Raw genomic sequence first — 12276 nt, forward strand, 5'->3', positions numbered from 1 at the left:
AAGCAGCTGTTGTGTTCGGGTGGTCCTAGGTGACCAGCTTCCCCACGAGCGATTTCTCTCCTTTGGTTTGATTCGTGTCAAAGATGAGTCTTAGACACTGCCTGATGCTCAAACGGTTTATCCTTTTCTTAAAAAAAAAAAAGATGGGATCTTGCTGTGTTGCCCAGGCTGGTCTTGAACTCCTGGCCTTAACCCATCTTCCTCCCTTGGCCTCCCAAAGTTCTGAGTTACAAGCATGAACCATGGTGCCCGGCCTCAAGTGATTTATTTTGGCTGTGCTGTTACGAGACAGACATCAATGACACGGGCCAGATACACTTAGGAGGTCAGAGGACCAGCTGACCAGGAGGGTCTCTGTGTAGAGACCATCCTCAGAGTTTGGGGGATCCTTCTCCCTTCCCTAGACCTGGGTTCAGTCTAGGTTAGTCGCCAGGTGTTTCTTTCAAAAAAGAAGTTTAAGCTATTCTTGTAAGGGGAAGCTTTGTTTCAAGGTTTATGAAAGTTGCATCTGTGCTGAGGTGGTCTTGTTTTCTGGAAATCCCCTGGCCAGGGTTGGAAATCCTGGGGCCAGGCTGTATCAACTGCTAAGTGACACCTGGTGTCCGGCCTGTGAGATGCTTAAGTGGGTCCTATGGCTCTTGTTAATCTCACAGTTGCAGTATGTCTCTTTTTATACTATGACAGCAACCTCAGCCCTGGTGACCTCAGCTCCCGCGCCGCATCCTCTGTACTCTTGCTCTTCAATTTTTAAGAATGAGTTTCATGATTATGGGTTTCAAAAATTACATTCAGGACTGCGTGTGGTGGCTCATGCCTATAATCCCAGCACTTTGGGACGCCAAGGTGGGTGGATCACTTGAGGTTAGGAGACCAGTCTGGTCAACATGGTGAAACCCTGTCTCTACTAAAAAAAATAAAACTTAGCAGGGCGTGATGGTGCACACCTGTAATTCCAGCTACTCAGGAGGCTGAGGCAGCAGGATCACTTGAATCTGGGAGGTGGAGGTTGAAGTGAGCCGACAACATGCCACTGCACTCCAGCCTGGGTGACAGAGTGAGACTCCATCTCAAAACAAAAACAAAAACAAAAACAATTCAAAAGGCACACAGTAAAACAAGGCTAACTCCTGCATCGTCCTCACCTGCCTAGTCCCCATCACCTGCCACATGCCTTAGTTCCTTGTGTATCCTTCCAGTTTCTTTATGCAAATGTAAATAGGACAAATATGTCGTCATATTTACCACCCCCACACATGCTTTATATACAAATGGTAGCTTATCAGGAACGTGGTTCTATACTTTCATTTTTGCACTTAATACATCTTGGAGATCTTTTTGTATCTGCAGAGAGAAGGCTGCTTCATTCTCTGGTACAGCTTGACCATCATTTCCTTAGCCAGCTCCCAGGTAGTGGATGTTTGTGTGGCAGGTGCTGCTGCTGCCCTGTCCCATATCTCCCACCTACCAGAGCTCACCAGCAGCCCTTTCATTTCTCCAGGCTTTAGCCCACACAGGTCTCTCTGCCTGGGATATGCTTCTGCTTCTTCATCTCAAATCAAGAGTCTGGCAGCCCCGCCAGAGACACTAACCTAACTAGTTCAGGCAGGGCTAGCACTTTGGGCCTCAGGGTCTCCCTTACCTCCTCTGCCTCAGGAATGATCACAGTGGATTAAATCCTCTCCTTATCTGCCTGCCTGGCTGGGAGCACCTGGGCAGGGGTCAGAGCTGTGGGGGGGCAATGGGGAAGATGAGTCAGATTCATCACTATGTCCCAGCACCTCTTACCACATCCCATGGCCTCTAGTGAAGCAGGAGAAGGATTGTATAAAATCCAAACTCCTTCCCGTGGCCTACAAAGCCCTGCTGACCCCGTCCCTGCCTGCCATCACCCCCAACCTCAGGTCCAGCCAGTGTGGCCTTCTTGTTCCTCAGAGACCTCAAACTCGATCCTGCCTCAGGGCTTTTGTTCTTATACTTTCCTCTACTTGGACTCTCTTTTCCCCAGATCTCCTGATTAGACCTCAGCTCAAATGACACTTCCTCCAAGAGGCCTTCCCTGACCACCTTGACTAAAATATCCTACTCACCCCTGCCAACTTTGGGAACCCAAGGCAGGAAGATCAGTTGAGGCCAGGAGTTCAAGACCAGCCTGGGCAACATAGTGAGATCCCATCTTTGAAAAAAAAAAAAAAACACCCCCACTTTCTTAGCAGTTATGGGATGAATTGTGTCCTTCCCAAAGTTTATAGGTTGAAGCCCTAACCCCGAGTACCTCAGAATGTCACTGTGTTTGGAGATAAGGTCTTTAAAGAGGTGAATAAGTTAAAATGAGGCCAGTAGGGCTGGGTCTTAATCCAATCTGAGTGGTGTCCTTTTTGTTTGTTTGTTTGTTTGTTTTGTTTTGTTTTGTTTTTGAGACAGAGTCTTGCTCTGTCTCCCAGGCTGGAGTGCAGTGATGCGATCTTGGTTCACTGCAACCTCTGCCTCTGGGGTTCAAGCAATTTTCCTGCCTCAGTCTCCCGAGTAGCTGGGACTAACAGGCACGTGCCACCACTCCCGGCTAATTTTTTTTTTGTATTTTTGGTAGAGACAGGGTTTCACCATGTTGGCCAGGCTGGTCTTGAACTCCTGAGCTCGTGATCCACCCATCTCGGCCTCCCAAAGTGCTGGGATAACAGGCGTGAGCCACTGTGCCCGGCCTGGTATCCTTTTTAAAAGGGGGAAGCAACACAAGGGATGAGGGTGCACAGAGGGAAGGCCGTGTGAGGACATGGGGAGGAAAGCCGAGGAGGGAGGCCTCCAAGGAAACCCTGCGGGTGCCTTGGTCTTGGACTTGCTGCCTCTGGAACTGTGGGAAAATAAATTTCTGTTATTTGAGCCAGGGGTCCTCAATCCCCTGGCCATGGACCAGTACTGGTCCATGGCCTATTAGGAACCTGGCACACAGCAGGAGGTGAGTGGCTGGTGAGGGAGAGAAGCTTCGTCTGTATATACAGCCGCTCCCCATCACACGAATGGCTGCCTGAGCTCTGCCTCCTGCCAGATCAGCGGCAGCATTAGATGCTCACAGGAGTGTGAACCCTGTTGTGAACTGTTCATGCGGGGGATCTAGGTTGCATGCTCCTTATGAGAATCTAATGCCTGATGATCTGTCACTGTCTCCCGTGACTCTCAGATGGGACCATCTAGTCGCAGGAAAACAAGCTCAGGCTGGACCTGGTGGCTCACGCCTGTAATCCCAGCACTTTGGGAGGCCGAGGCAGGTGGATCACGAGGTGAGGAGTTTGAGGCCAGCCTGACCAACATGGTGAAACCCTGTCTCTACTAAAAATACAAAAATTAGCAGGGCACGGTGGTGAGCGCTTGTAATTCCAGCTACTCAGGAGGGTGAGGCAGGAGAATTGCTTGAACCCAGGAGGCGGAGGTTGCAGTGAGCCAAGATCGCGCCATTGCACTCCAGCCTGGGCGACAGAGAGAGACTTCGTCTCAAAAAAAAAAAAAAAAAAGGAACACAAGCTCAGGGCTCCCACTGATTCTACATTATGGTGAGTCATATAATTATTTCGTTGTATATTACAGTGTGGTAATAATATAAATAAAGTGTACAATAAATATAATATGAATCATCCCCAAACCATCCCCCCCACTATCCATGGAAAAACTGTCTTCCACGAAACCCGTCCCTGGTGCCAAAAAGGTTGGGACCACTGATTTAAGCTACCCAGTCTGTGGTACTTTGTTATGCAGCCTAAGCTGACTCTACATCTTCCAGCGCATTTCTTCCAATGCACTGTCTGACATGACTTGTTTACTGTCTGCCTCCCCGTACAAGGGCAAGTCATTTAATTGTCTTGCTCATGGTGTAGCCCCAGCTCCTACAACAGAGCCTGGTACATAGTAGGCACTCAATAAATACTCACAGGATGAATGAGCAAATGCCAATTCCATGAAGCAGAGAGTGTCATATGAAGATCCCCCCAACGCTCACAAGCACATGTGTGAATGCACCCACATGTGTGCTCAGACATGTACGTGGATAGCTGGGCGCTCACACACATGCATCCTGCCCTGCATCTTTGCCTCTGACCATGTCCACTTCATGGCAAGGGCCATGTACACAGCCTGCAGGCTCAGCGGATGGCATGACTGTGCCTGTTTCAAGCTGGCTGTGCCTCTGAGCTGCCCTCAGAAACCCACGCCTGGCGCTCCTGTCAGGAGTGTGCTTGGATGCTAGGCCTCCCAGAGGGGTCAGAAGATGGGGAAGAAGAATCTGTTTGCAAATGGAAATCAGAATAAGCTCTACCAGGCACAGAGAACAGGGAAGGCAGTGGGCAGAATATGAGTTTTCCCAGCCCCCCACTGGGGGTCAGAACAATCAGCGAGTTCCTTCTGTGCCAGCCACATGACAAGTACATTATGCCCTGTGAAGTGGTGGGTTATTCACTCCCATTTTACCGATGAGAACACAGGCTGGTGTATCCCAGCATTTTGGGAGGCCGAGGTGGGATGATTTCTTGAGCCCAGGAGGTCTGGTTTGCAGTGATCTGTGATTGTACCATAGCACTCCAGCCTGAGTGACAGAGTAAGTCCCTGTCTCTCTCTCTCTCTCTCTCTCTCTCTCTCTCTCTCTCTCTCTATATATATATATATATATATATATATATATATATATATATATATATATATATTTATGTACACACACACGGGATTGGAGAGACCAATTCAATACTCCCTCAGTATTTTTTTTTGAGATGGAGTCTCACTCTGTTGCCCAGGCTGGAATGAAGTGGCTTGATCTTGGCTCACTACAACCTCTGCCTCCCAGGTTCAAGTGATTCTCCTGCCTCAGCCTCCTGAGCAGCTGGGATTACAGGTCCCCCGCCACCACGCCTGGCTAATTTTTGCATTTTCATTAGAGACGGAGTTTCACCATGTTGGCAAGTCTGGTCTCAAACTCCTGACCTCAAGTGATCTGCCTGCCTTAGCCTCCCAAAGTGTCCCCCAGTATTTTATGGAGGCCCTAGGTATAACACTGATTGCTCACTTATTTTGTTGAAGCAGATGATATGGTGATTAAGAGCCTCAGCTTGGGAGCCAGACAGCCTGGGTTCAAATTCTTGCCCTGATAATTACTAGCTGTGTGATTTTGGGCAAATCACATCGCCTGTCTATGCCTTCCTTTCTTTATCTGTAAAATAGAGTTATAATGGTACCTACTTGCTTGAGTTAATACATGTACAGGGCTTCGAATGGGGCCTGGCATGTAGTAGGCACATTTCTTGAGCAATAAATGTTAGTCCTTATTCCTTATTTCTAATTGTATCAGGATGTTCCCACCGAATCCTGCTCCTCCTCCAGGGCTGTGCCAGCTGCCTCTCTTTCAGGCCAGACCTTGAACAATCTTTGCTGTAAGAAGGTATCACAAACTGGAAGGCTTACAGCTACAGGAGTGTATTCTGTTAGTGCTGGAGGCCAAAAGTCTGAAATCAAGGTGAGGGCCGGGCCTGCTCCCTCTGAAATCTTTCTTGCCTCTTCCTAGGGGGATCCTTCCTTGCCTCTGCCTAGCTCCTGGTGGTTTCCCAGCAATCCTCAGCGTTCCTTGGTGTGCGGGTGCGTAACTCCAGTCTCTGCCTTCCTCATCACAGGGCATTCTCCCTGACTTCACATAGCTGTCTCCTTAGAAGAACGCAGTTCTATCAGATTAGGGGCCCATTCTACTCAAGGATAGCCTCATCTTTAATTACTAATTAAACTTGCAAGGACACCATTCTCAAATCAGATCACATTCTGAGGTCCATATCTTTTTTTTTTTGAGGGGATTGGAGAGAACAATTCGACCCATAATAGCAAATCTCTCTTGTCCCTGGGGAAGCTGTGTCTTTAAAAAGAGCTAGATGGGGAATAAAGAGATTTCAAAGCCAACAAGAAAAATGGTCTTGAAGTGGATGCTCTGGTTCTCCGTGTCTCTGGTTTACTGGCTGGACTGAGCTCCCTGGGTAGTTTTATTCTCCGATCGCTGCCGTCACCCATATTCTGTCTTCCCTGTCCCTTCATGGGTTGTACGGACTGCCGATCACACTGGAGCATGAGGGAGTCCCGGCCAGTCTGGCCCAGTTGAAAGCCCCACCTCTCCTCTGGGTTAACATGGAGGAGGGAGGGCACAGGGAAAAGGTCTCTCCCCTAATAGCTTCCTGTTGGGGACTCCCTCACCTCTTGTGGCCAATGCCATCTCTCAGGCCATCCCTGACTGGCCATCAGGGATTTCTGTGTCATTAGGGCCGGATGGTGGCTCTGGCATGGGGTGCAGGTCCTTGGGGGATCCTTGGAGGCCTCTTTTCCTTGCATTCCCACAGCTGACTCTGTGTGCCCTCTTTTTCTCCCGTAGCTCCCCTTCCCTGCCTGTTTTCCTCTGGGCCCCCTTGCCTGGTCAGCAGCCCTCTTTGCTGGCAGAGCAGCAAGATGTCTCCCTCCCATGATGCCCTCTTGGCTCCTGGAAACCTCCCACTCCCTTGCTACCCAGTTGCTGGGGCTGGGGTGTGGGCTATTCCACGTGTCCTCTCTGCCTGCCCATATTTTTTCATAGTTCATTCATAGTTCTTCTCCCCAAAAAGAGAGGCATGAGAGCAGGGGAGCCTAGGCAGACCCTCCACTGGAGAATGAGGTGTTGGACCCTCCTAAATGCAGCTCTGCTTTCTGAGATTTCACTTGGAACCCCCTACATTTGGCTTGAATTGAGGAAGTGAGAGTCATTCTCCCTTCCCAGGGGAGGGAAAAGTCTTAGTGCCACCTGCCTTCTCCTCAGGCTGGGACACTTAACTCCAAAGACCTCCCCCAACTCCCCACCTGCTTATTTAAAGGGGGCCCAGGGGAGGTAGAAGAGCTGGTCTGGCTGCCCCTTAATAAGTCCTGAGGTGCCCCCCACCACCATCTTGGTGGTTATCTTGGAAAGGAGTTCAATGTCCTTTTGTCCTCTGCCCTGGGTCACATTGCACTTAACAACCCTTGGCATCTGCACTTCAGCGCATCCTCCATAACCTGAAGACTCCAGAAAGGAGGAAGGGCTAAAAGTATGGGATAAGCTACCCCCAAATTATTGGTGCCTCCTCTGTACCAACTTTGTAACAGGTGTTTGTCTCCATGGACCCACTGGATGCTCTGTGAGCTCCATGAAGGTCCCATTTTCCCAGGACCAGGCCTGGATCCTGGTACATTATATATACTCAAGAAAACATCTGTTGAGAGAGTGACTGTGGTGGCTTTAGTGGTTGTCCTAAGGTTTACAGTATACATATTTAATTTGTCAGAGTCTATCTTCAAATAATATCATACCACTTTATATGTAGTATAAGAACCTTACAACAATATACTCTCCATTCCTCTCTCTCTTCCACTATGCTACTCTTACCATGCATTTTGTTTTTACATTTGCCACAAACACACAGTACTTTGCTACTGTTTTGCTTTAGATGGTCAAATATATTTTAGAATAACTAAAAATATGAAAAAAGCAAAATTTATATTTATCTTCTTTTATGCCATTTCTAGCATTTCTTATTTCTTTGCATAGATACAAGTTTCTTTCTGGCATCATATTCCTTCTGCCTGGAGAACATCCTTTAACACATCTTATAGTGCAGGTCTACTGGTAATTAATGCCCTGATTTTGTTTGACTGAAGAAATCTCACACTTCTTCCTCACTTTTGAGAGATATTTCCACTGGGTATAGAATTTTAGGTTGACAGTTGTTTGCTTTCAGCACTGTAAAGCAGTCACCCCACTCTCTTTTGCTCTGCATAGTTTCTGATGGGAAGTTGGCTATAATTCTTATCTTTTCCCTTCTGAATGTAATATGCCTTTTTTCTTTGGCTGCCTTCAAGATTTTCTCTTTATCTTTGGTTTTCGGTAGTTTGAATATGATTGTGTCTAGGGTTGTAGGGTTTGTTTGTTTGTCTGTTTGTTTTCTTTTTCTTTTTTGGTCTTGCTTAGTGTTTTCTGAACTTTCTGGATCTGTGGTTTGGTGTCCATCATTAATTTTGAAAAAATTCCCAGCCATTATCTCTTCAAATATTTCTTCTGCCCTATTCTCTTTCTGTTTTACTTCTCAGATTCTAATTATGTTATGTATGTTAGCTCATTTGATATTTGACATTCTTTCATAGCTCTGAGATGCTCTCATCTGTTTTTGGTCTCCCCCACCTCCCACTGTTTGGATAGTTTTTAACTGATCCATGTTCAAGTCCACTGATTCTGATTCTTTCCTTGGCTGTGTTAAGTCTACTGATGTGCTCATTTAAGATTTTTATTTTTTAAGAGATAAGGTATTTCTCTGTCACCTAAGGCTGGAGTGCAGTGGTGCAATCATAGCTTACTGAAGCTTCTAACTCCTGGGCTCAAGTGATCCTCCTACCTCAGTCTCCAGACTGAGGCGCATACCACCGTGTCTAGTAAAGTTTTTATTTTTTTATTTTTACAGAGACAGGGTCTTGTTGTGTTGCCTATGCTGGCCTTGAACTCTTGGGCTCAAGTGATCCTCCTGCCTCAGCCTCCCAAGTAGCTAGGATTGCAGGTGTCTCCCAAAGTGCTGGGATTACAGCTGCCAAGCCCAGACCATCTAAGACATTCTTTATTGCTGATACTGTGCTTTCTATTTTTGGCATTTACATTTGATATTTTCTTCTAGTTTCCACCTTTTTGCTGAAATTTCCCATTTGTTCATGCATGTTGTCTACTTTTTCCATTAGAGCCTTTAAGATAGTAATCATAGTTATTTAAAAGTCCATATATGATAGTCCCAACATCTGGGCCATATCTGAGTCTGGTTGTTGATTTCTTTTTTCTTTCTCTCCCTTCCTTCCTTCCTTCCTTCTTCCCTTCCTTTCCTCCCTTCCTCCCTCCCTCCCTCCCTTCTTTCTCTCTCTCTCTTTCTTTCCTTCCTTCCTTCCTTCTTTCCTTCCTTCCTTCTTTCTTTCTTTCCTTCCTTCCTTCCTTCTATCTTTCTTTTTTCTTTCTTTCTTTCCTTCTTTCTTTCTTTCTTTTTTTCTTTCTTTCCTTCCTTCCTTCCTTCCTTCCTTCCTTCCTTCCTTCCTTCCTTCCTTTCTTCTTTCTTTCTTTCTTTCTTTCTTTCTTTCTTTCTTTCTTTCTTTCTTTCTTTCTTTCTTTCTTTCTGACAGTTTCACTCTTATTTTCCAGGCTGGAGTGCAATGGCATGGTCTTGGCTCACTGCACCCTCTGCTTCCCAAGTTGAAGCGGTTCTCCTGGCGTGGAGACCAGGTGCCAAACAACTGGTAAAAATTCAGCTAAAGTTTTAATAAGTTGCTAAGGCTGAGTATGGCTGGGATAGAAATATGGATCCACTGGGAGCAGCAGACACACGGGGAATTTGCACCTGTTCACAGGCTCATCTTCATGGATGGCGTTGGGTGCTATGAGAAAGACTGGGGATAGAGTGAGAGATGAGAGAAAGCCTGCCTTGTGGTGCAAGCCTAGGGGAGGGGAGCAGCAGCCACTGCTGGAGAAGAGCCATAAGACACTGGGAAAGGTTGGCAAATCCTGTCACCCTCAGTGCCCATTGCAGCTGGGAGAAGGGAAAAGAAAAATTCCTATCCTGATGGGCAAGGGGCGAGGGTGAGAAGGCCCCACCCCCAAGACCCAGGGACACAGTGCCTGCCTAAGACTGAAGCAGTACCAGGACAGCAGAGAACAAACAACCTCCACGCAGTATACACGCACACCTTCCAGCCCCAGGCTAGCAAGTATCAAGTAACAAGTAGTAGTCTGCTGCTGGAGAAGGATCAAGAGCACATGGAGAAGCCAGGCATGGCGGCACGTGCCTGCAGTCCCAGCTACTCAGAAGGTCGAGGCATGAAGATCACTTGAGCCCAGGAGTTCAAGACCAGCCTAGGCGACATAGAGATGCAGGATCTCTGACGTGCAGGATCGTAGACAAAGTCTGGAGCTGAGGGTGGAATAAGATCATTGAAGAAAAAAACGCTCCTGGTTCCACCTTAAACACAAAGGAATGCTAGAAGAATTTGAAGCCCACGGTGCACTGATGGTAAGCCAGTAACAACAAAGGCCAAACCCAGCTCCATTCTTGTCCCCTACACTTAAGGCCTAGCAAAAGAAAAGGCATGCCCATTTCCAGTCATAAATACCATTTACCTCATCTCTACCATCCCATGCAAGATGTCTGTCTGTAAACAGAAAATTAGAAGACATACAAAGAAACAAGATAAAATAACATATTGTCAAGAGACAAAGAAATCAACAACCAAGGCCAGGTGTGGTGGCTCATGCCTGTAATCCTAGCAATTTGGGAGGCAGAGGTGGGTGATTTGCCTTAGCCCAGGAGTTCAAGACGAGCCTGGGAAACATGGCAAAGCCCCGCCTCTACAAAAAAAAAAAAATACAAAAATTAGCCAGGCATGGTGGTGTGCACCTGTGGTCCTAGCTACTCAGGAGGCTGAGATGGGAGATCACCTGAGCCCAGGGAGGTCAAAGCTGTAGTGAGCTGTGGTTGCGCCACTGCGCTCCAGCCTGGGCGACAGAGCAAGACCCTGTCTCAGAAAAATAAATAAATAAATAAAAAATAAAAGATATAAAACGGTAGATTATCTGGCCTTTTCTCGTTGTGAGGGTGGATGTGATACTCTTTCCAGCTTTCTCCATCCTAAGTGGAGGCTGGAGGGGAAAGTGGAACAGTTGTGGAACATGCACACACATTCTTTGAATGCAGTGGAAGTGACTCTGCACAGCTTCTGAGGCTGTGTCATAGAGGGTGAGGCAGCTTCCACTTTGCTCACTGGAGTTCTGAGCTACTATGTCAGAGGTTCAATTACTCCGAGATAGCCAGGCTGTGAGGAAGCTGATTCTCAGCTGTCGTATTGACATGCCTTACCTTGGAGTTCAAATCAGCCCCTAATCAAATTGGATTCTGTATTTCTAGCCATTAAGAAATCCAGGGAGATCAATAATAATAACAGAGACATTCAGAGAAGCACAGTGCCTCTCTGGAAAAATGAAGGGAGTTTCGTCCCACTCAGCCATGGCCCAGACAAAGACAGTTGTAAGCAAATGGAGGTGATGATGGTTTTGTTTAACTGTCCTGGCACATCAAATAGCCAGTCCAATTCCCCCACACAAGTCTTAGCAACAGGGGAATGCAGAATATCCTAAGATTGCTCAGTGGGGCCCAACTGTCATCAGTGGGGCAGCAGCCATCTAGTGCATGATGTGATCATTAACTAGCCTGTGACAGAGAACATCTGATGGGTACAAGCTTTGTTTGAGGGCTGGGAGGAAAACCTCAGGGACTTGAGGAAATCCTGGAATCCTGGTCACAGATCACTTGGTCATCTATCTGCAAGGTCCTTTGTAAAGTTTCTGTTCTTTTGGTGGATTCAAAGGAGATTGGAGTGAGCTAGAAGATCCCTTCCTCTGATATTGCTTTTGGGTCCAAGGTGTAGATGGGTGGTTTCATCTCAGGTGATGAATGGCAGTCTGGAGTGCTGTGTTGAGAAGGATTCTGAGGTTCTGTCCAGGTTCAGCAGGAAAGAGCTCTGTGGTCAATTTGTGATGTATCCCACGGAGGCAGGGAGTGGAAGAGGCATATTTGCTCCATATTTGTAAGCTGTCTTAGGTCGGTTCCAGGGAAGCGGACTCTGAGGTGGGGATTTGCATGCAGGAAGTTTATTGGGGCATGCATTCAGGAACATTTGCGAGAGTGAGAAAGCCAGGTTGGGCAACAGAGGCCTCCTCAGTCAATCCTATGGGTGTCTCTGGAGTTGTCTTCCATTGAGGCCAGGTGTGAACCAGCCATTGATGCAGCCAACACTCCTGAAAGTTGGGGGAATGAGGTCCTTTTTTGTCCAGGCAATCATGTGCCCAGCTGCAAGGGATGAATGATGGGTGATCCAAATTATTATGACTACTCCATTCCTCCTTGCTAGTGACCAGTCTAGGGGTAGGCGTGTGACCTCATCCAGTCAATGACATTGAAGGGCAAGTGTGCTAGGGGCTCCAATAAAGACTCTCTTTCTTGATAAAGGAGACGTTAGAAGGAACACTTTCTCCTCTCCTTTCTTCATTGGGATGTGAAGCTTGGAGTTTCAGCAGCTATTTTGAGAGCAGGAAGGAGATATTTCCCACACACCGTGGATGTCAGAGTGAAGGGCCTGAGTCTGGGTGACCTCACTGAACCATTGCACCAATCCAGATACCTCTCACCACCAGCTTCCTTGGCATGTGAAATTAACAAGCGTCATAATTTAAGCACT

General features: G+C 47.2%; 2 annotated features.

Annotated features, from left to right (window-relative positions):
- Window positions 442-561: an enhancer, noted in NCBI's record as "active region_17751". NCBI's record gives its function as "activates an Ori minimal core promoter by ATAC-STARR-seq in GM12878 lymphoblastoid cells {active_cell/tissue: GM12878}" and the evidence as "EXISTENCE:reporter gene assay evidence [ECO:0000049][PMID:35858748]".
- Window positions 742-1001: an enhancer, noted in NCBI's record as "active region_17752". NCBI's record gives its function as "activates an Ori minimal core promoter by ATAC-STARR-seq in GM12878 lymphoblastoid cells {active_cell/tissue: GM12878}" and the evidence as "EXISTENCE:reporter gene assay evidence [ECO:0000049][PMID:35858748]".

Source organism: Homo sapiens, chromosome 20 (assembly GCF_000001405.40).
Source record: "Homo sapiens chromosome 20, GRCh38.p14 Primary Assembly".
Taxonomy (NCBI): Eukaryota; Metazoa; Chordata; class Mammalia; order Primates; family Hominidae; genus Homo; species Homo sapiens.